Below are 23,830 nucleotides of genomic sequence, written 5' to 3' on the forward strand. Positions count from 1 at the left end.
TGGTGTAAGGAAGGGGTCCAGTTTCAATTTTCTGCATATGGCTAGCCAGTTCTCCCAGCACCGTTTATTAAATAGAGAATCCTTTCCCCATTGCTTGCTTTTGTCGAGTTTGTCAAAGATCAGATGGTTGTAGGTGTGTGGTCTTATTTCTGAGTTCTCTATTCTGTTCCATTGTAAACCTAGATTTTCTAAGCGTTTCTCAACTGGGCTTCTTCAGCTGAACCACAGAATGCAGAAAAAGACTTGAGGCCCTATTTTTTCAGTTCTTCAAGGAGAACTAGGTACATAACTAGTACCATTCCAGATGCAGGGGAGAGACGCTCATTCATTCCAGACTGTGAAGCCTTGGGGCTTTCAGGCTTACTTCTCCAGTGGGACCCCAGTTGAAGCAGGCTCCTCAACCCCATGCCCCACCCTGTCTTTCCTTCCTAAGGAAATGGTACCTGTACCTACCTTGTTGCCCAAGCCAGAAACCTGACAGTTCATTCTAGGACCCCCCTCTTTCCTCTCCTCCTTCCTCCAAAATCAGTTTCCATTATCTAATCATTCTATCTACTTTTGAATCTCTTCCCTTCTCATTCTCCTCACTGCCACCAACTTGGTCAGCCCACACCATTTTGCCCAATTATTATTCAGAAGCTGCCTGAGTGGCTTCCTTGCCTCTTGCCTCCACCAGTCCCTCCCCAGCTGCTTCCTAGAAAAGCCTCACAGCACACAAGTCTTATTCTATCATTTCTTCCTTCCTGGCTCACCAAAGCCTTTCTGATAAAGCTCCACATTGGCCTTGTGGACTGCCGGATCTTGCATTTACACCATGCCCTCCCTTCTCCTGCCCTTCTCTCCCACCTGCTCCTCTGCCGACACACCCTGCTCTCGTAAAACTCATGCTTCTTCTTCAGTTCTCATCTGGCACACGATATATGCGAGCTCCTCCTGACAGGCAGGCTAGGCCTCTTAGATTCTGCTGCCTCAGAGGACAGCAATGTTGAACAAACCTACCTACAAACCAACCACTGTCACATGCAAGGCGTCTGCCATTCCCAAGGAGCCACATGCATTCAAACAGAGTAGCTTTACATCTGTGAGTGTTTTTGGTTTTTGTTTGTTTGTTTGTTTTTTTCACACGGAGTCTCACTCTGTTGCCCAGGCTGGAGTGCAGTGGTGCAATCTCAGTTCATTGCAAGCTCAGCCTCCCGGGTTCACGTCATTCTCCTGCCTCAGCCTCCCGAGTAGCTGGGACTATAGGCGCCCGCCACCATGCCTGGCTAATTTTTTTTTTTTTTTTGTATTTTTAGTAGAGACGGGGTTTCACCATGTTAGCCAGGATGGTCTCGATCTCGTGACCTCATGATCTGCCCGCCTTGGCCTCCCAAAGTGCTGGGATTATAGGCATGAGCCACCGCGTCCGGCCGGCCATTGGCCATTCTCAGTAGACCAGCAACCTCTCCACAGAAGAGCTAAATAACACTAAGAGAAAAAGGGAACTTGCGTGTTAAAATTCGAGGAAGCTGGGCACAGTGGCTTTCGCCTGTAATCCCAGCACTTTGGGAGGCCGAGGCAGGCAGATCACTTGAGGCCAGGAGTTAAACCAGCCTGCTCAACATGGCAAAACCCCGTCTCTACTAAAAATACAAAAATTAGCCTGGCCTGGTGGTGCACGCTTGTAATCCCACCTATAATCCCAGCTATTTGGGAGGCTGAGGCAGCAGAATCGCTTGAACCAGGGAGTTGGAGGTTGCAGTGAGCTGAGATTGTGCCACTGCACTCCAGCGTGAGTGACAGAGTGAGATTCTGTCTTAAAAAAGAAAAAAAAAAATTCAGGCATAGCACAGTGGCTCACGCTTGTAATCCCAGCACTTTGGGGCGGATCACAAGGTCAGGAGTTCGACACCATCCTGGCCAACATGGTGAAACCCCATCTCTACTAAAAAGGAAAAAAAAAAAAAAAAAAATGCCGGGCATGGTGCCACATGCCTGTAGTTCCAGCTACTCAGGAGGCTGAGGCAAGAGAATTGCTTGAACCCGGGAGGCAAAGGTTGCAATGAGCTGAGATTGTGCCACTGCAGTCCAGCCTGGGTGACAGAGTGAGACTCCATCTCAAAAAATTCAACCAGGCACAGTGGCTCATGCCTGTAATCCCAGCACTTTTGGAGGCCAAGACAGGAGGATCACTTGAGCCCAGGAAGATCACTTGAGCCCAGGAGTCCCAGACCAGCCTGGGCAACATAGTGAGACCTCGTCTCTACTAAAAATTTAAAAAAAAAAAAAACCCACAAAAAATTATCCAGGTGTGGTAGCCTGTAGTCTCAGCTACTCAGGAGGATGAGCTGGGAGGATCACTTGAACCCAGAAGGTTGAAGCTGCAGTGAGCTGAGATTGCACCATTGCATTCCAGCCTGGTGACAGGGTGAGACCCTATCTCAAAAAATAAAGTAAAATAAAAAGATCAGAGAAAGTATACATTAAAATTCAAGGTGAAAAAACATTCACTTTGCCTGTTTTGTTTGTTCCAACGAATAGACTCATCTCATAATATTCTGTATATTTGTAACCCATTGTAAAGATGTTGCCTATTACTCTTAGTGAGGTGGACACTCTAATTAGAATTTTTATTAAATTTTATTGTGGTAACATACACATAAAATTTACCATCTTAACCATTTTTAAGTGTACAGTTCAGTGGCATTCAGTACATTCACATTGCTGTGTGACTGACACTACTATCTATCCATCTCCAGAACCTTTTCGTCTTGTACTGAAAACCTGCACCCATTAAACAGTAACTCCTCATTCTCCCCTTCCCTCAGTGCCTGGCCACTGTTTACTTTCTATGAATTTGACTACTCTAGGTACCTCATGTATATGCAATCATACAATATTTGTCCCACATGTCTTACAGGTTCATCCATCTTGTTGCATGTATCTGAATGTCATTCCTTTTCAAGGCTGAATAATATTCCATCTCATGGATATACCACATTTTGTTTAACCATTCATCTGTTGATGAACATTTGGGTTGCTTCTATCTTTTGACTATTGTGAATAATGCTGCTGTGAACAGGGTGTACAAATATCTGTGCAAGTCCCTGCTTTCAGTTCTTCTGGGTATATGCCCAGAAGTGGAATTGCTGGATCAAATGATGATAATTCTAAGTTTAATTTTTTGAGGAACCACCATACTGTTTCCACAGAGGGTGTACCATTTTACATCCCTACCAACAGTGCACAGAGGTTCCAGTATTTCCACATCCTCACCAACATTTGTTATTTTCTGGTTTTTTATTTTATTTTAATAGTAGCCATCCTAAGAAGTGGGGAGTGGAACCTCACTTTGGTTTTGATTGGCTTTTCCCTAATGATTAGCAATGTTGACCATCTTTTCATGTGCCTTACTTATTTTTAAAAGATCACTCTGGAGGCTGTGTTGAATGTTGTTAACTGTAGGGTGATGGGATGGAGGGCAGGGGAAAAAACATGGAAGGTGGAAGACTATTTACAAGGCTATTGCAGTATTCTAGCCAAATAATTATGGCGGCTTGGAACAAGATGACAGTGGTGGAGGTGGTAAGAGTTCATGGGACTCTGGATGTATTTTGAGGCCAGGGCTGATGGAATTGAAAGAGGAATGTGAAAGAAAGAAAAGTCTAGAATGACTCCTATCTTTATGCCCATGCAAATGGCCATTTACTGAGATGGAGAATGCTGGAAGAATAGTATGCTGGGAGGGTGATATCTCACCCACCCTTATGGGATATGCCATATCATGGGAGGGTGAGATACCCTGCCATATCATGGGAGGGTGAGATATCAAGAACCCAATTTTAGGCTGGGCACAGTGGTTCACACCTACAATACCGTTATCTAAAATGGGATTATGTAAAATGCTACAATCCCAACTTTGGGAGGCCAACGTGGGAGGATTGCTTGATCCCAGGAGTTCAAGACTAGCCTAGGAAATGTAGTGGGAGCCTGTCTCTAAAAAAAAAAAAAAAATTTAATTAGGTGTGTTGGTGCATGCCTGTAGTCCCAGCTACTTGGGAGGCTGAGGTGGGAGGATCACCTGAGCTCAGGAGGTCAAGGATGCAGTGAGCCACAATCATCACACCACTGCATTCTAGCATGGGTGACAGAGTGAGACCCTGTCTCAAAAAACAGAACAAAACAAAAAAACACCAGTTATCTTGATTCCCTGCCAATGCACCAAAAAAAAAAAAATTCCAGTGAACATGTAGACATGTAAGTTTGGATCCCTATTGGACTTCCACGTGGAGATGCTGACAATACATGCTGACAATAGGTACAAGAGTCTGGAGATCAAGGGTGTTTCTGTTATCTTTTGCTGCACAATAACCTTCCCTAAAACTCAGGAGTTTAGAACAGCAACAATTTCTTATTTCTTACAACTCTGTGGGTTGACTGCATTCAGCTGGTCAGTTCTGCTCTATGTGGCATGAGTTGGGGTTGCTCATCTGGCTGCATTCAGCTGGTGGCTGGGCTGAACAGAAAGGTCCAAGAAGGCTTCACTCACATTTCTGGCACCTCAGTGCTCCATGTGACATCTCCACATAGTTAGCTTGGGCTTCCTCACAGCATGGCGGTCACAGGGAGTCAGATGTGTTACATAGTGACTGGTTCTCCACAGAGGACAAGAGCAGAAGCTGTCAGGCCTCTTCAAGCTAGGTCTAAACTGACATAGCATCTCTTCTGCCATATCCTATTTGTCAAAACAGGTCACAAGGCCAGCACATATGTGAGGGAAGGAAAACAGACTCCACTTTTTGATGAGAACAGTGGCATATGTTGACAGGGATGGGAGAAATTGATGGCAGCCATCTTTGGAGACTGCCCACCACAGAGTGGGGTATCAGGGTTGGTGATATACGTTTGAAAGTAATCAAAAGATAGTTGGTACCTAAAAGCCATGCTACTGGATAAGATTACTCAGGGAATGACTGTAGATAGAGAAGAGATGAAAAGGCTAATCTCTAGGCTATTCCAGCGTTTTGCACTTGGAAGGAGAAACCAGCAAATGACCATGAGAAGGAACAACCAGTAAGGTGGGAGGAAAACCAGGAGAGTGTGGTGTTGATGAAGTCAAGTGGGACAGCGTTTCAAGAAGGAGAGGGGGTGATCAGTTGTGTAAAATGCTAAGAGTTCAAGTAAGATAGAGATGAAAACTGACCATTGGATTTGGCCAAGTGGAGATGACTGGCAGTTTTCCAAGGATAATTTCAGTGAGTCTGTGGAGACAGAAGCTTGACTGGAGTGGGCTCCAGAGACAACGGGATGAGAGGATCTGGAGATGGGCAGCATAGACAACTCTTGGCGGGAGTTATACAGGAATGCAGAGGAATAGGGCAGTAATGGAATGGGATGCAGAGCAAGGGAAGACACAGTAGACAGCCTTCAAAAGGAGCGTGAACCATTCATCCGTGACAGTAAGAAAGGCAGCGTATATGGTCACAAGTGCAGGAGGAGAGGTTAGATGGGGTGGTGGGAGGTGCTATAGAGAGTAAATACAGTCTGGTGGTGATGGGCCAGATTAGACCAGGCTTGAAAAAGACATAAGATCATTGGGAGGGCTTTTAATAGGTGCAAATATATAAGCCAAAAGCATGAGCCTGTGGAAAGATAGAAAGTAACTGACAATGTGAAATCTCAAGGTATGTGGCTACAGAAGAGGATGCAGAAATGATGGGAAGAAGGGTAGGGATATACAGTTTCAGCTTCAGGGAAGGGCCAGAGTGTGGTGACCGCAGAGAGGAGAAGGCAGCCTTGAGGTGCAGAGGATGTCAAGGACCTGAGAGGAGGAGCGTATTGTTCAGCCCACACCAAGGTGGCTGTCAATGCAATGTCCCCAGGATAGCAGCAGGAGTAATGCAGAGGAGCTGAAGCTAATGAAAGAGTCAGGGTCCTGAGGGGATATGAGGGGGCACCCCCACACGGTTCTTGGCAATTATGACGCTGGAGTGGGCCTGGCTTTTTTTTTTTTTTTTGGAGACAGGGTCCCGCTCTGTTGCCTGGGCTGGAGTGCAGTGGTGCAGTCATGGCTCACTGCAGCCACGACCTCCTGGGCTCAAGTGATCCACCCGCCTCAGCCTCCCAAGTAGCTGGGACTACAGGTGCATGCCCCGCCTGGCTAATTAAAAAAAAAAATGGTAGAGACAGGGTTTTGACATGTTGCCCAGGCTGAGCTTGAACTCCTGTGCTCAAGTGATCCACTTGTCCCAGCCTCCCAAAGTGCTGGGATTATAGGCGCGAGCCACCGTGCCCAGCCTGGCCTGGCTTTTTTTAAGCAGGGAGGAGACATGCGTTTTTAAGAAGTGAATTCTGAAATGAAGTTAAAACAATATTCTGGAGTGGCAACGGTGAGTGGGCCAGAAACTAGCTGAATCTACAGCCAGAAGGCAAACATATCAGCTTACCTCCTCCTGAGAGGTACCAAAGACCTACAGATTTCCTGAGAAAGCAGGGTATCAGGAAGAAGAGTGGAGACAAAGGGGACAGTGGGAATGGCTTGGAAATACTAGAGATATTTTGGTGATTGAACCAAAGGAATTCCAGAGATACCAAGAGGGAAATCACCAGGAAAGGCCGTGTCGTGGAAGGGTTCAGGTCAGCAGGTAGGTGCAGGGGAGATGAGTGAACAGACGCAAGGGCAAGGGAGGCAACTGACCTGGGTGGTGATTAACAAAGGTGTCAGGAAGGCAGCAGAGGCAGCATGGTGTGGGCTTGAGGAGGGACTGGTGTACTGGAGTTTGGCTTAGATGTGTGGCTAAGAGGCTAGCAAGTTAGTACACTTCGTATGAGGGTAGTTCTATGACAAGTGACAAAAACCTACTTCAATCCAGCTTAAACAGTAACAAGGATTTATGACCTCCCCTCACTGGGCATTCCACAGGAAGGGGAGCTAGCACCTAGGGACTGTTGGGCTCCGCAGCCCAATGATGTCATCAAGGGCCCAGTTTCTTTGCGTTTCTCTGCTGTACCTTTTAGAGTGGTGGCTTCATTTTAAAACTTGCTCCACTTCATGGTCACAAGGTGGCTGCAAAAAACACAGGACAATCTGCTTCCTTTTGCATATCTAGAGAGGGAGTCCCTTTTGATAATGTCTCAGAAAGGTGACTGCCTCTTTTCCATAAGCGCAGCAAACCCCTCCTGGAGTCTCATTTGAGCAATGCCTCCAATCCTAAACCAATTCCTGTGGTGTGGAAATACCACATGCTGACTGGTGTGGGCACGAGTTACCTGAGGCAATCACTGTGGCAATAAGGAATGACCCTGACTGGTTCGGAGCATGTAAGGCCCATTCCTGTTGTTGGGGCACTGTTGGCTTCCCCTGAAGGACACCGGCTGTTGGGGAAGGAGCGTGGCCAATACAAATCTGAGTAATGTTAGGAAGTGGGAAAGTCATGCTGAATAGAGTTCTAAAATATCCACTTCACTACTTCACTGAGCTCTTGGGAAAATTAAATGAATATTTTGTGAGGATGCCTTGCTTTTTCCGTCTTTTTTTTTTTTTTTTTTTTTTTTTTTTTGAGACCGGGTCTCACTCTGTCGCCCAGCCTGGAGTGCATTGGCGCGATCTCGGCTCACTGCAACCTCCGCCTCCCAGGTTCAAGCGATTCTCCTGCCTCAGCCTCTCGAGTAGCTGGGACTACAGGTGTGTGCCACCACATCTGGCTGATTTTTTGTATTTTTAGTAGAGATGGGGTTTCACCGTGTTAGCCAGGATGGTCTCAATCTCCTGACCTCGTGATGCCCCGCCTCAGCCTCCCAAAGTGCTGGAATTACCACACCCGGCCGCTTTTTCCTTCTTAAAAGGCTTTTGGAGTTAGAGATACAGAAGAAAACTGGAGGAAAGAAAGGTAGATAGGGGAGGGAGGTGAACAGAGAGAAATTTGGGGAAGGACCCAACAACTAAATGCAAGAGAAAGCGAAGACAGATGGGGCTGGAGTTGAAAGGCAGATGTAAACAGAACACACCTGTCTCTGAATTTGCAGACATGAAGAGTAATATTCTTTTAGTACCTCACATGTTCCCCTTTCCCAAGAGCTGATGAGGGCTGGATGGGTTCATCTCTGTACCTGCCTATGCCCACAAATGTTCAATGTCTCCCCGCTGTGTACCAAGCTAGAGGTCTGGCGCACCCTGGAATTCCAGATGCTCTGGAATGGATCTAACCTCCGGTTAGCCTCGTTTCCAGTTATCTGCCTAGACATGTCTCTCTGTGCTCCAGCCAAATCGAGCTTTTGGTCTCCCCACAACGCCCACAAACCTGCTTTCCTCCTGCCTCTGTGCAGGTGTTTCCTTTGCTTTGAATGTTGCTCTTTTTTTTTTTTTTTTTTTTTTTTTTTTTGAGACGGAGTCTGGCTCTGTCTCCCAGGCTGGAGTCCAGTGGCTCGATCTCAGCTCACTGCAAGCTCCGCCTCCCGGGTTCCCGCATTCTCCTGCCTCAGCCTCCCGAGTAGCTGGGACTACAGGCACCCACCACCGCACCCAGCTATTTTTTTTTTTTTTTTTTTTGTATTTTTTAGTAGAGACGGGGTTTCACCGTGTTAGCCAGGATGGTCTCGATCTCCTGACCTCGTGATCTGCCCGCCTTGGCCTCCCAAAGTGCTGGGATTACAGGCGTGAGCCACCGCGCCTGGCTGAATGTTGCTCTCTTTCCTGGCTGAAACCGTCTCATCTTGAAAGCCAAGTTCCAATGCTTGTTCTGATGTAGCTTTTATTGGTCCTTTCGGGCTCCTGTCCCCATTCTCTCCTCTCCAGGCTGCTCCTAGGATTGGTTTTTAGTGTGCTTGTCTCAACCAATCTAGATTGTCAGACTCTTGAGGACAGTGACTGTCCTCCTTCTCTTCCTCATTGTCCATGTTCATTATTTGCACATTTTTAAAAAGCCTGTGGCCAGCCAGGTGCGGTGGCTCAGACCTGTAATCCCAGCACTTTGGGAGGCCGAAGCAGGTGGATCACTTAAGGCCAGGAGTTGGAGAAGCAGCCTGGCCAACATGGCAAAACCCCGTCTCTACTAAAAACATAAAAAATTAGCTGGGCGTGGTGGCGCACACCTGTAATTCCAGCTACTCAGGAGGCTGTAGCATGGGAATCACTTGAAACTGGGAGGCAGAGGTTGCAGTGAGCTGAGATGCTGCCATTGCACTCCAGTCTGGGCAACAAGAGTGAGACCCTGTTAAAAAAAAAAAAAGCCTGTGGCTGAGCATGGTGGCACACACCTATAGTCACAGCTACTTGGGAGGCTGAGGTGGGAGGATCACTTGAGCCCAGTGTCCAGCCTGGGCAACACAGTGAGACCCCATCTCTTTAAAAAAGAATCGTGGGTATCAACTGTGTAGAAGTCACCATGGATATAGAGGTGAATAAGAAAAGCACTCAGCAAATACTTGTTGCATTTATTGCTGTTGAAATGGGACTTGTGCTCGCTGATGGGATTCCAATAGAGGGGTTCAACTGCACTAATGAATTGATACTCTCTCTCATTATCTTCTATTCTCCATGTAACCATATTTTCCAAATCCTTTGCCTCAAGAGGCTTTAAACACATGTAAAGGCTGAGGTTCTGTTGCCGAAGTGAAGCAAATAACTGAGACAACTTAATGAGACAGTTTATAGATTGTTCAGGAAAACAAATATGCCTTTGAAATCACTAAGTCATTTCAGTTTTTATTCCAGGGTCAAAGCACTGACATCTGCATTATTTAGAAGCGGCTTTCAAAACTTTTTTTGCCATAACTCACAGTAAAAAAAAATACATTTTATATTGCAACTCAAGTCTATAAATTCTTTCATTCCTTCAACATATTGAACACCTACTATATGCCAAATATATTTTATGTGGAATACAGTAGTGAACGAAGTAAAAGAGGAAGAAAGGAAAGGAGGAAGAGAAAGAAATAAACAAAAATTCTTGCTCTCTAAGACTTTACATACTAGTGGAACAGACAATAGACAAAATAAGTAAGCCAGATGCAGTGGCTCACACCTGTAATCTCAGCACTTTAGGAGGCCAAGGTGGGAGGATCGAGAGGACTGCTTGAGGCCAAGAGTTCAAGACCAGCCTGGGCAACATAGCAAGATGCTGTCTCTACAAAAATTAAAAAAAAAAAAAAATTAGCTGGGCATGGTGGCATGTGCCTGTAGTCTCAGCTACTTGGGAGGCTAAGGGTTGAGGATTGCTTGAGCCCAGGGATTCAAGGAGTCTTGCAGTGAGCTATGATTATACCACTGCACTCCAGCCTGGATGACAGAGCAGGACTGTCTCTTAAAAAACCAACACAATACAAAGTAAAATATAGGAACACACAGAAACAGAATATTCATGAGGCAAAACCACCTATTTCTATATGCAGTACACTCAGATGTTTTTGATTTTTTCGGAAAAAATGCTGGTCAATCCTGTTAAACCATTAAGTTGGCTTCTCAACTCAGTAATGGGTTGAGGCTTTTGCACTTTGAAAAACACTAGTCTAGACAATTTCTGACATGGGCAGAGCATGTGCTTGTTCTCACCTTATGGAGGGAGGAACATACAAAGATATTAACTGAGTTCCTCAAATTCACCCATGATCTGAGGGAAGCAATGCTGACCTCCACCTGAGGGCTTCCCAGTCCACTGCTGCCCTTTCCCTCACCCTCTGCAGTGCCTGCTCTTCTCCTCTCATTCTGAAACCTTGCTCTGCACGTGGAGCAGCTCTTCCTTCCCTTGTCAGGTAAAAATCACATGAATACTTCTAAGCCTAGCCAGACCGCACTGCGTTCCAGGATGCCTCTCTCAGGCCACTACTGCATTCTGGCTCGCTTGATTGATTGATTTAGAGACAGGGTCTCACTCTGTTGCCAAGTTGTGCAATCATGGCCCACTGCAGCCTCAACCTCCCAGGCTCAAGCAATCCTCCCACCTCAGCCTCCCGAGTGGCTGGGACTCTATGCATGCACCAGCACACCTAGCCAATCTTTTTTTTTTTTTTTTAATTTTTTAGTAGAGACAGGGGTCTCACTATGTTGCCTAGGCTGTGGCTTGCTTTATAACTATTGGTGTACCAGAATAGGATCCTCTGCACGGTGACCTCCTAAAAGAGCAGGTACCAGTCACCTTTGTGTCCCCCAAAGCACAGTACTTTATCTGTAGGTATTAATAAATACATAGGAAATTGAATTGAATTTGTAACTCAAAGCAGAGGGGTGGAGAGAAGTGCTTCCTAGCCAGGAATACAGGATTTAGGCCATATCTATTTAAAAGAAGACTAACAAACAGACTAGAAACGATAACACTGGTAAAAAGATCTCTTTACCTGAGCTACAAAAGTCATACATTAGGTAGAGGCTTCAATAGTGTAGAAAATATACTAATGTGTTATCTCCTTAGAGACAGATTTAGAACCATGTCAGTTATGTTGCAGATGACAGAGAACAGAAACCTAGTGAAATCAACTCAAGACAATGAGGGCTACCATAAGGAGGCCCAAGGAGTAGTTGGATGGACCTGAGGAAGGACAGGAGCCAGAGGCCCCCTGAGGAGCTCTGCGCCGCAGAAGTAAGGCTATCCTCGCTGCAATGGTGACCATTACAATGGGGACAGTTGCCACCTCATCAAAATGAAGGAAATCAGTTCAAATTCTAAAAAAAACCTACATGGCACAGCCAATTCTAGAATTGTCCACTCTTGCTTCACTTGGTTTGAGTAGGATGGGGCTGTGTGTTTGAAAACATCTAAGGAAGAAAGGGGGGAACAAACTCTCTGAAAAGAAAGTAGAACTTTCACTAAATATTGACCCAAACTGGAATTTTCAGTTTTACGCTACCACCAGAGAGGATGGGACTCAAGGCCAAGATAAGGTCAGTTACAAAAAGTTATATAAAATACTGTATCTGTGATACAGTGTAAAATATCATTTCAATCCTATTAAAAGTTAAAAAAAATGTAGATTTTAGCTAAATGACCTCTAAGTTTCAGGGATCTACAAACCCATGCGTGTATAAATATATCACGAAAATCTGTACAAGATATTTCATAGAATTCTCTATCTCATGGTTTTCAGACTTTATTTTGAATCAGATTCTAATTCTGTAGGACTAGGGTAGGGTAGTGGGACTGCATACTTAAATAAGCACCCCAGATACTGCTAAAGATGGGTCATGTTGAGAGACTTTCTTAACCTAATCCCTTCCTACTTAATTAAAAAGGAGCTCGACTTGCATAAGTTTTCTTTTTCTTTTTTTCTTTGAGACAAAGACTCACTGTCACCCAGGCTGGAGTGCAGTGACACCGTCTCAGCTCACTGCAACCCCTGCCTCCCAGGTTCAAGCGATTCTCCTGCCTCAGCCTCCTGAGTAGCTGGGATTACAGGCGTGTGCCACCACACATGGCTAATTTTTTATACTTTTAGTAGAGACAGGGTTTCACCATGTTGGCCAGGCTGGTCTCAAACTCCTGATCTCAAGTGATCTGCCCGCCTTGGCCTCCCAAAGTGCTGGGATTACAGGCATGAGGCACCGTGCCCAGCCAAAAAGTTTTCAGTTAGAACAAAAATGGAAAACAGAACCACACAAACTCATCATTTATGTGGTAACACTAAATAAGAGGATGTACAAATTAAAAACCTACCACATTCCCTATTATTTTTAATTGCATCTAGTCACAACATTTATAAGAGCATATGTTTATAAAAGATGGTTAAGACTGGTTAGTAATTTATTCTTGAGGTTTGTTTTAAAGTGAAAAAGGGGGAAGTAGTTATAAGTCCAGAAAGAATATTTCAGGATGATACATGTTGACTATAAACGCAAAAGGTATACTGATAGCAATCCTATAAACAGCAAATATGGATGCAATTGATTTAAGCCTATTAGTTCATTTTTTAAAAGCAGCCTTGTTTCTTTAAAGTTAAGTACTATAAATGATTCTTGAAAATCTACTGTGGACATGATATATTCAGTCAAACTTGCTAGGAGTTGGGGAATGACTTCGTGACCATCCAGTTCACAGTCTGATTGAGAGTTAAACAGCATTACAAAAAAGTTACAGTCACGGTACATAATCAATTCCTTGGACGATACAGCTTCCACAGCTCTCATCATCCTGGTTATTCTTCTTTCAGCTTTCACTTACACATTCCTTTCTTTCAGACAAACAAAAAATATCAAAGTTCACCAAAATTCTTAAAGTCACAGTTCATGTAGCACTGAATGATAGTAGCTTTGGCATTTGATATTACAAAGTCACTTTTCCATCGCAAATGTTTTCTTCATTCTGGGTCAAGGCGAGGTAAAACAGGAAGAATAAGGTTCCCAAATGCAGAGTCTTGAGTGATGAAGTATCCAGATGAATGTGCATGAGCATGCTGGGAAAGATTAAAAACAAAAAGGCAATTAAGCTATTAAATAGAGTCACAATTCTTCGACCAAGGCATTAAAATTACTCTTTCTGAATGCTTGAGACCAAATTTATTTGTTTATTCATTTATTTTTCATTGTTATTGCTGAGATGGAATTTATTTTAAAATCAGTTCTTGGCTGGGCGCGGTGGCTCACACTGGTAATCCCAGCACTTTGGGAGGCTGAGGTGGGCGAATCACGAGGTCAGGAGATCGAGACCATCCTGGCTAACGTGGTGAAACCCCGTCTCTACTAAAAATACAAAAAAGTTAGCCAGGCGTGGTGGCGGGTGCCTGTAGTCCCAGCTACTCAGGAGGCTGAGGCAGGAGAATGGCATGAACCTGGGAGGTGGAGCTTGCAGTGAGCAGAGCTCGCACCACTGCACTCCAGCCTGGGCGACAGAGCGAGACTCCATCTCAAATAAATAAATAAATAAATAAATAAATAAATAAATAAATCAGTTTTTCTGCTGCTGGTTGTGTTTAAATAGACAGGAAATGGACAGTAATACAGAATCTGGGTCAACAAGTTACACCAAGTACTCATTTATCATCCTCTCTCTCTACCCTGTGATCATCCTCAGTCCATAAATGACTCAAAGACATGAACTGTTTTGTTCCTTCCAGTGAGGAAAACAAGTATCAAAGATCCCAAAGTACTCTGATCTTGGTCAACAAACCAGGAACTTGAGAAAGAAGGGTAGTAGTTGGAAGGAGAGGGGGGAAAAGGCAGTGAGATTACTGGTGATTAAAATACCAACATTTGGTAGAGAACGTTGGAATGTAAATAACAGAAAACCACCAGTAACTTCCCTCTGTCATTAAAAAAAAAAAAAAAAGACTGTTTTTAAGTCATCTAAAGTGAATGGAGGGCTGGGCAATGGTGGCTCACACCTGTAATCCCAACACTTTGGGTGACTGAGGTGGGAGGATCATTTGAGGCCAGGAGTTTGAGACCAGTCTGGGCAACACAGTGAGACCCCATCTCTACAAAAAATTAAAAAATTAGCTAGGCACAGTGGCATGTGCCTGTAGTCCCAGCAGCATGTGCCTGTAGTCCCAGCTACTTAGGAGCCTGAGGCAAGAAGATTACTTGAACCCAGGAGTTCGAGGTTACAGTAAGCTATGATGGCACCATTGCACTCCAGCCTGGGTGACAGAGCGTGAGACCTTGTCTCTAAAAAATAGATAAATAAAATAAAATAAAGTGAGATGGTCATAATGTTCCTTCCAATTCTGGGATTCTAAGGTTTAAAAATACAAGTGATTAAATTATGCCTATGGGAAAAAAATGTCCAAAGTCTCTAGAAATCTTAAATTATTCAAGATGAGACTGTAACACTAAAACTATTTATTACTCTGAAGAGTATTTTTTTTAACTGACGAAGCACCACATTTCTAGTCCTATAGTAAGAGTTAGCTATGAAATATTTCCTGCACAACAGTTGTGCTGAGCATTTAAAAAAAAAAATCCAGGCAACAATAATAAACTAATACAACTATCAAAGGATGTAATGACATGATAGATTTGAAAAAAAATGCATGTACTATTTAGCCAGTTCAATTTTTAAGATGATTCCTGTCCAGCCAAATATCCTAGACTCTTGTGCACAAGCAATCCCTTGGCATGTAGAAGCACAGAATCAATCATGACCGAGTCAACACCATAAAAGATACTTTCATTACTGCTGCACTGGTCCTTCAAATCCTCTGGGCTTGACTGAACATCAGCAAACCATTGCAATTATGTGTGGAACATTTTTATTGATATTGCTCCACTGAAATATAAAATAACTATGTGCCGGCTTCTGAGATCCAGGAAACCTCCACCGAGGCAAGAATGTCAGTTACACTGCTCACCTGCAAAGCTGCCTTCTGTTGGGCTGCAATATGCTGCTGCTCAGCGTGATCCCGGAAGTCCTTATTAAGAGAGGGTCTCGAGAGTGCAATGCTAAAATGGGAATCTTGGTTACTCAGCTGCTTAAGGCAGAAACATCCTTACTTTTTTTTGGATGGTAGTAAATTATCTTCTTTTTTTTAAATTGAGGTATCCTTGACAAAAACTGCATATACTTCCAGTGTACAATATGATGTTTTAGTATTTGTATTTGTTGTGAAATGGTTAAATCAAGCTAATTAACATATCCATCACCTCGCATACTTACCATTTTTGGTTGTGGAACATTTAAGATCTCTTAGCAATTTTCTTAGCAAAAAATTCTCTTAGCAATTTTCAAGTATGTATCATTAACTATAGTCACTATGCTATATAGTAAATCTCTTAAAGAGATGTCCTTACTTCTGAATCACAACTTTTCATTATATATTCTTTATAGGGGTAAAAAAAAACCTCCAAGAATAAGTCTTTTTTCCTTCTCTCACTATCTTCATGAATTTATATAAGAAAGTCTATGTTATTTACTGAGATTTTAAATGGTCTGGAAAATGTTATAAAATGTAGACCTTATCCTAACAGTAATAGGAGACCTCCAAAGAGTGTTAGGCAGCAGGGGAGTGACATGATCAGAAGTATAACCCTCTTGGCCAGGCGTGGTGGCTCATGCCTGTAATCCCAGGACTTTGGGAGTCCGAGGCAGGAGGATCATTTGAGCCCAGGAGTTCAAGACCAGCCTGGGCAATACAGTGAGACCCCATCTCTACAAAAACAAGATTAACCAGGTATGGTGGCATGTGCCTGCGATTCCAGCTACGTGGGAGGCTGAGATGGGAGGATCGCTTAAGCTTGGGAGGTCTGGAGAAGGTGCCACTGCACTCCAGCCTGGGTGACAGAGTGAGACCCTGTCTCAAAAAAAAGAACTATCATCCTGTAGTTCAGAAAGACCACTATTGCACTACTGTGGCAGACAGTGTTGGTCACCTCCTCAACAGTTGTTTGTCTCCTTTCCTCCTTGCTGATGGAACCCAAACTTGGTTCAATTATCAGTAGTCACATGCTTCAAGGCAGGCCAGGCTCATGCCCCAGGGGGTAGACCTTGATTGATGTAAGACAATGTCATTCCCCTAGCTGGTTTCTGGTTTAGGCAAGAGAAAGGTACATAATCTGGGCAACCAGACTTGATGGGTGTCTACAGGAAGGCTTCTGAGAGTGTTCTCCTCACTCTTACAAATGGGACACACCATAGGAACCTTTCAGGCTTTTTCCTCTACAGGTGGCTCAGTGCGGGGTGATGCCTAAGCCACTGCAGTCATATTCTGGCCTGAGGGAGCCACTGACCCATGGGGTAAAGCAGAAAGGAAAGATGAATGAAGCTGCATCACTAATGATATTGTGGCCACTGAATTAAGCTACTCTGGAACTACCTTATCTTCACACTCTTGGTTAACAGATACCCAAATGTTTATGCCAATTTTGTTATATTTCTGTTACTTCCCGATTAAAGCTTGCTAAATGACACAACTGATGAATGTATTCAAGAAGCGTAAGACCACAGGAACTCTGAAGCAGTTATAATAATTGAGGCAAGAAATGAGAGTGGCCAGGAATCAGGATAGCATCAGTAGCAATGAAGGAAATGGTCAGATGTGAGACACCTTTCAAAGTATAATCACAAGAGAATGGTGAATGCTTGGAGATGAAAGTGAAAGGAATGGTAAACAACTGAAGTTCACATTTCTGACTTTGTAACTAGTAGATGGCAGCCTGAACCATTTACTGAGACAGGATACACAAGAATATTCAGTAGCTGATTGGAGAGCGGGGAGAATGAGTTCAGGTTGGGACATACTACATTTGAAATGCCTGTGGACATCAAAGTAGAGACATCCAGGAGGCAGAGGTGGTGCTTAGAAGAAAGGACAGACTAGAGCTGCAAATGCGTAAGTGATTAGCACGTAAATAACAGCATGTGGGAAAAGATGCAACTGTCCAGTGAAAACAGGCAGGCTAGGAAGCCTGGTCTAGAACAGAATTCGAAGGGCTGTCAGCATTCAAGGGACAAATAGAGAAATGTCCACAAAAGAAATCAAGATAGTCTCCTCCTACTGTGTTTTACATTCTCCGAGTGAGCAAATGGAAGCCAAGAGAGTACTTTAAGAGAGTGGGCCGGGTGCAGCGGCTCACGCCTGTAATCCCAGCACTTTGGGAGGCCAAGGTGGGTGGATCACTTGAGGCCAGGAGTTTGAGACCAGCCTGGCCAACATGGCAAAACCCCATCTCTACTAAAATTACAAAAGTTTGCTGGGTGTGGTGGGGTACGCCTGTAATCCCAGCTACTTGGGAGGCTGAGGCACGAGAATCACTTGAACATGGGAGGCAGAGGTTGCAGTGAGCCAAGATCGTGCCACTGCATTCCAGCCTGCACAGCAGAGACCCTGTCTCAAAAAAAAAGAAAAAAGAAAAAAAAGAAAAGAAAGAAAGTGATCAGTGGTGTCAAATAACACTAAGATGTCTGATAAGAAAAGGACTCTGGTCTGCCAGATTTAACCCGGGAAGGTTACAAGAGACCTAGGCAAGAACATTTTCTTTGATGGAGGGCCTGGAAGTCAGACTGCAGCGGGTTGAGGCATCAATAAGTGAGAAAGTAAAGATGAGTACAGCCAATTGCTTTAAGAGAAAGACAGAAGAGAGTTAGGGTGGTGGTGGCTGAAGGGGATAATGGATCTTTTTTGTTTGTTTGTTTTAGACAGTCTTACTATATCATCCAGGCTGGATTGCAGTGGTGCAATCAGCTCATTGCAGCCCCAACCTCCCAGGCTCAGGTGAACCTCCCACCCAGCCTCCCAGGTAGCTGGCACTACAGGCATGCACCACCATGGCTAGCTAATTTTTTGTATTTTTTGTAGAGATGGGTCTTGCCACGTTGCCCAGGCTGCTCTCGAGCTACTGGGCTCAAGTGATCCACCCACCTTAGCCTCCCAAAATGCTGGGATTACAGGCGTGAGCCACCATGCCCGGCAATAATGGATCTGAGGGAAGATACTAAATATGGCAGAGACTGAATACCTATAATAAAGATCATCAAGCTACCTAAATTTGGCCTACTTTGCAGAATGATTAAAAAGTGGGGCACTAGCAGCAATTGCAGTAATAAAAAACCATACAAAACTCAAAAAAAAAAAAAGGCTATAAGGGCTAGGTGCAGTGGCTAACGCTTGTAATCCCAGCACTTTGGGAGGCTGAGGCAGGAGGATCACTTGAGGCCAGGAGTTTGAGACCAGCCTGGGCAACACAAGACCTCACTTGTTTCTACTAAAAAACAAAAAAATTAGCCAGGTATGGTAGGGTGCACCTGTAGTGTGAGATACTCAGGGGCGATCACCTGAGCCCAGGAGACTCAGGATGTAGTGAGTTATGATTGTGCCACTCCACTCCACTCTAGGTGACAGAGTTAGACCCTGTCTCAAAAAAAAAAAAAAAAAAGTCTGAAGGCTATGAAGTCTATAGGGAAAATTAAATATTCTAGTTAGAATGTTTACAATTTAATCAACTAAACAGTTTGTTAAAAGTCTGACTAGGAAATGAAGGGAACTAGAATATGTCACCTAAAATATGCTTCTTTGATATAAAAATTATTTTTGAGCTGAAAGCAATTAAGAAGCAGCTCAGTTAATAGGGTTGCTTAAAAATAAAAATAAAAGGCAGCAGCAAACTGAGGAAAAGCTCTCTCTCTCCCCTCCCCACTTTCTGCCTAAAGATAGGATAGAACTTCTCCTCTACTGGAGACAACTCTAGACTCTTAGCCTAGGGACAGCAGCAGAGGACTCTGCCAACAAGCCTTACTCCATTCGTTTTCTCCATATATTTACCTTCTCAGTTTCCCACCCCAAGAAGCCTAAAATCCCTTTTGTTTGTTCCACATTTATTGTTCTTTGTTGAAGATGCTATATAAGTAGAGTTCTAAGCCATGATTTTGAGTTATAAGGTTTCTCCCTTGTGATGTGTGCTGCATGCACTCATAAATTTGTTTTTCTCTTGTTAATCTGTCTTTTGTTACAGAGGTCCCTCCCAATAAGAACTAAGTTGGGCACAGGTAAAGTTTAGCCTCCCCTATACAAAGAAAACACAATGAATAGATTGCAGTGTTAAAGAAAAAAATCATTGCCAGCCAACTTGAATTATTTGGTCCAAGAAATTTTTATATCACTGAATATAAAAACCACATTACAGGCCAGGCACGGTGGGTCACGCCTGTAATCCCAGCACTTTGGGAGACCAAGGCGGGTGGATCACCTGAGGTCAGGAGTTCAAGACCAGCCTAACCAACATGGTGAAACCCCATCTCTACTAAAAATACAAAAATTTGCTGGGTGTCGTGGCAGGTGCCTGTAATCCCAGCTACTCGGGAGGCTGAGGCAGGAGAATCGCTAGAACCCGGGAGGCGGAGGCTGCAGTGAGCCGAGATTGCACCATTGCACTCCAGCCTGGGGGACAGGGCGAGACTCCGTCTCAAAACAAAACAAAACAAAACAAAACAAACAAAAAACCCACATTATAGTGTCAATACCTAGCTCCAGGATGATTTGTTGAAGACTGGTTCTGCATAAGTAGTTTTCTTTTCTCTTTGTCCAGTTCTGCCAAGATTGCAACTCTATTTTTGTTTTGAAAACCTAAAAAAAAGAGGGGAATAGGAGAAAAGGGAGAAAGAGAGAGTAATCAGAAACATTTTAGACCTATTTTTATAACCTAAGTCATCTAGAACCAAGAAAGCAAAACTCCTATTCTCTAACATGATAATGAATTCACCAGTAAGTACTTTCCCTAAATGGTTACTTCTTCCCTCCTACTTCCCAGTAACTTTAACAGCATAATTCATGAATACTTAAGCAGAATATAATATCAAATCATATTATATTTAAAGTGTAGCTGAGGACTTTTAAGACTTAGTTCTACAGAATTTTAATCACCAAGGTATAAGTTACAGCATTTGTTTTTTAACAAAATCTTTGAGGACCCAAATGCTGCAGGGGCCTGTGCAGTCTCTATCCTGCCGAGTCAATCTTTGGGAGGGCAGATGTTCTTAGTCTTCTATTTGAAGCCTCTTTCTGCATGCCTTTTTCATGGGGGGAAAAAGCAGTAAACATACTCAGATCAAAATATTTCTTCTTCTCAACTGCTTCCATTCAGATATGTTGGATAATTTTTCAAGGAACATGTCAAAGAATTTCAACTGACCAGAAAGCAATTCTGAGAAAGAAATGGAGCGTAACTGACAGGATACAAAGAGATATGGCCTTTGTCAAATACTTAATACTGGGCTGGATTTTCAGCTTCAAACTTACGTAAGATATAGGGTAGAGGTTGCCAAGTTATGGCCCAGTAGCAACTCCTAGCTATGTTTTAAAAATCAGAATTAAATACTAACATGTAAACATTGAGAAACTGTACACTAATTTCTCAGATTCCTAGCTTCTCTTGAAATATATCTCAAGATCTGGCAACAAGTGATCTATATGCCCCCACGGCAACAATTCACCAGAACTAAGAAATAGTTGTCCCCTTTAGCTGGGCACTCTCCAGCTCATTACAATCCTTATCACCTTGTTTACATTATCTGTAAGAATTTGAGTTTCTGATCCCTAATTTAGAAAAACAAAAAGAAAGATTAAAGGACTGGAAAACAGAACTACAGAAAAAAAAAAAAAAAAAAAGATAAGGACGATGATGGCTCAGGAGACTGGAATCATTAGGCCAGAAGAATGAATATGGGAGGAAAGCACATTTTCCAAGCAGAGCAGACCTAGGCACTCCTAAGGGTACCCACATGAAGGAGTCTAAGAATTTTATACTGATTATAAACAGGAAGAATTAGGTGGTAGGATGCAAACTTTTTCCTCTCCTTGGGAGAGGAGCAGAGACTAGCTAGGGATGGTGTAGGCTGTAGAAGGAGTATTCATACTCCTTTTGCAGTGTTTTCAGCTAAATCTGTTCTTCAATCAGGCATTAGCATACTGTCTGTGGCCAGGATTCTGGGCAAAATAAACCTCTGGCACATTCATTTCTATCATCTCCCATTTTCCCCTCTCTGCCCACCCATGCTATGTCATCAAACTCTAGTAATAGCAGACTCCCTCTATTTGGATAAGATAATTCATTAAAAAAGAAGAAGAGGAAGAAGAGGAGGAAGAGGAGGAGTAGGAGGAAGGGAGAGGAGGAGGGGGAGGGGGAGGGGGAGGAGGAGGAGGAGAAGAAGAAGGAGAAGAAGAAGGAGAAGAAGGAGAAGAAGAAGGAGAAGAAGAAGGAGAAGAAGAAGGAGAAGAAGAAGACATGCCAGAATGTATTAAGCCAGGGTATTGTTCTGTAGCCCAGACTGGAGTGCAGTGGTGTGATCATATCTCACTGCAGCCTCAAACTCCTGGGCTCGAGCGATCCTCCTGCCTCAGTCTCCCAAGTTGCTAAGACTACAGGTGTGAGCCAGCATGCCCTACTAATTTTTGTATTTTTTTTTTGTAGAGACAGGATTTCACCATGTTGCCCAGGCTGGTCTTGAACTCCTGGGCTCAAGCGATCCTCCCACCTTAGTCTCACAAAGTGCTAGGACTGCAGGTGTGAGCAACTGAGCTAAGCCCATTGTGGTCTTTCTGAAGAGAGTTTTCTAAGCCTTCCAGGGTATTGATCATTTACTCTCATCCTAACTCCAATCCCTTTTTCCTGCCTGATCTCTTAGAGCTTAATCTTCCGGTGGAAGAAGCTCTGTGGGGCCTTTCCATGCTGCACGTCATGACTGGCTCCACCCAGTCTTATGGATACGCCTGTCTCGAGAGAAGTCTTCTACTCAAGGAAAGATTTAATACAGCTTTGAGAGACAGAGGAAAAACCAAACTGTTTTTGGAAAAAACAAACTATTCTCTACTCTCATTCAACACAAAACTTCTAACACCAAGCAATTCTTCAGTGGACACCAGCTGAGTGTCCTATAATTCAATTCTGATACTATCTACCTGGAGATAGTGTGGGGCCCCACAAGCTGAGGCTCAGTTCTACAAGACTGCTCGCCACTTCAGACGCCAATGGCAAGTAGGCAGTAGGTTGTCACCTATGCCTCTGACTGACTGGCTGTAAACCGGGGGCCCCCATGACTCACTCCTTGGATTTGGTTAATTTGCTAGAGTGGCTTACAGAACTCAGGGAAATACTTTACTTACATTCACTAGTTTATTAATAAAGGGTATTACAAAGGTTAGACATGAATAGCCAGATGAAGAGATGCATCGGGCCAGGCACGTGGGAAGGGACATGGAGCTTTAACACTCTCTCCGGCACACCATCTTTCAAGCACCTTCACACATTCAGCTATCCAGAAGCTCATCTGAACCTTGTCCTTTTGGGGTTTTCTGGAGGCTCCATTACATAGGCATGATTGATTAAATCATTGGCCATTTGTGATCAGCTCCACCTCAGTCCCTCTCCTTTCCCCGGAGGTCAGTAGGTGGGACTGAAAGTTCCAACCCTCAAATTATAGGGTTGGTTTCCCTGGCAACCAGCCTCCATCCAGGGCCCATAAAGAGTCATCACATTGAACAAAAGATGCTCCCATCACCCAGGAAATCACAAAGGTCTTCAGAGCTCTGTGTTAGGAAATGGGGTTCAAGGACAAATATCAGAGCAAGGCTGGTGGCTCATACCTGTAATCCCAGCATTTTGGGAGGCCAAAGTGGGAGGACCACTTGAGGCCAGGAGTTCAAGACTAGCCTGGGCAACTTAAAACAACTACAAGATGTTAGGACATAAATACTTACTAGGTTGTTTGGACCTGACTATGTACTAAACAGAATGGTTATTCAAGACCTTATGTCTACAAAAAATTGAAATTACCCAGGCTTGGTGGCATGTGCCTGTAGGCTAGCTACTTGGGAGGCTGAGGCAGGAGGATCGCTTGAGCCCATGAAGTAGAGGCTGCCGTGAGCCATGATCGTGCCTTTAACACTCCAGCCTGGTCAACAGAGCAAGACCCTGTCACTTAAAACAAAACAAAACCAAATATCAGAACAAAACATTCTCCTAGTACCCCTACTGCTCAGGAAATTATAAGAGTTTTAGGAGCTCTATGTTAGGAACCATGGTCAATGACCAAATATGTTTCTTATTATATCATGGTATCACAACAACCAAATTCCAAGAATGTATTACTTACACAATTGGTTATTTCTGAAAGGAAAGTAAGAAGGTATTCTTCTATCTCAATTTAGGATTCAGTAAGAAGAAATGAGGCAGAACAGAAGTAGGAAATACTAAAGTTTGAATCAATGAAAAATACCTCCCAGTCTCATATCAGAGTTATGAAAACATCATTACCTATGGAAATCCTTCCATAAACAGTTGTTATTTGCTTAGGGCAGTTTGCTTAAAGTATCCCAAAACAGGCAAATTAATTCATGTTAAATGAAATGATTAAAGTAGGCTGGGCGCGGTGGCTCACGCCTGTAATCCCAGCACTTTGGGAGGCTGAGGTGGGTGGCTCATGAGGTCAGGAGATTGAGG

The 23,830-nt window shown here is 43.7% G+C and overlaps 1 protein-coding gene across 10 annotated transcripts in view; it reads right to left on the bottom strand.

Moving 5' to 3' along the window:
• Positions 1 to 9,651: 9,651 nt before the first annotated feature.
• Positions 9,652 to 23,830, bottom strand: part of INIP (INTS3 and NABP interacting protein) — a 34,192-nt gene continuing 20,013 nt past the window's right edge. For 4 of the 10 annotated variants that reach the window (NM_001329589.2, NM_001329590.2, NM_021218.3 and 1 more), the window contains 3 exons: positions 19,857 to 19,959; positions 15,253 to 15,343; positions 9,652 to 13,359 (listed from right to left, as the gene is read on the bottom strand). In NM_001329589.2, coding sequence (NP_001316518.1) covers positions 13,264 to 13,359; positions 15,253 to 15,343; positions 19,857 to 19,894 — 225 coding nt within the window. In that variant the 5' untranslated portion in view covers positions 19,895 to 19,959 and the 3' untranslated portion in view covers positions 9,652 to 13,263. Of the gene's footprint in view, positions 13,360 to 15,252; positions 15,344 to 19,856; positions 19,960 to 23,164; positions 23,309 to 23,830 lie in introns of all 10 variants that reach the window. The other 6 variants (NR_138056.2, NR_138055.2, NM_001329586.2 and 3 more) reach the window with 4 other exon arrangements.

This window comes from Homo sapiens, chromosome 9 (assembly GCF_000001405.40).
Source record: "Homo sapiens chromosome 9, GRCh38.p14 Primary Assembly".
Classification (NCBI taxonomy): domain Eukaryota; kingdom Metazoa; phylum Chordata; class Mammalia; order Primates; family Hominidae; genus Homo; species Homo sapiens.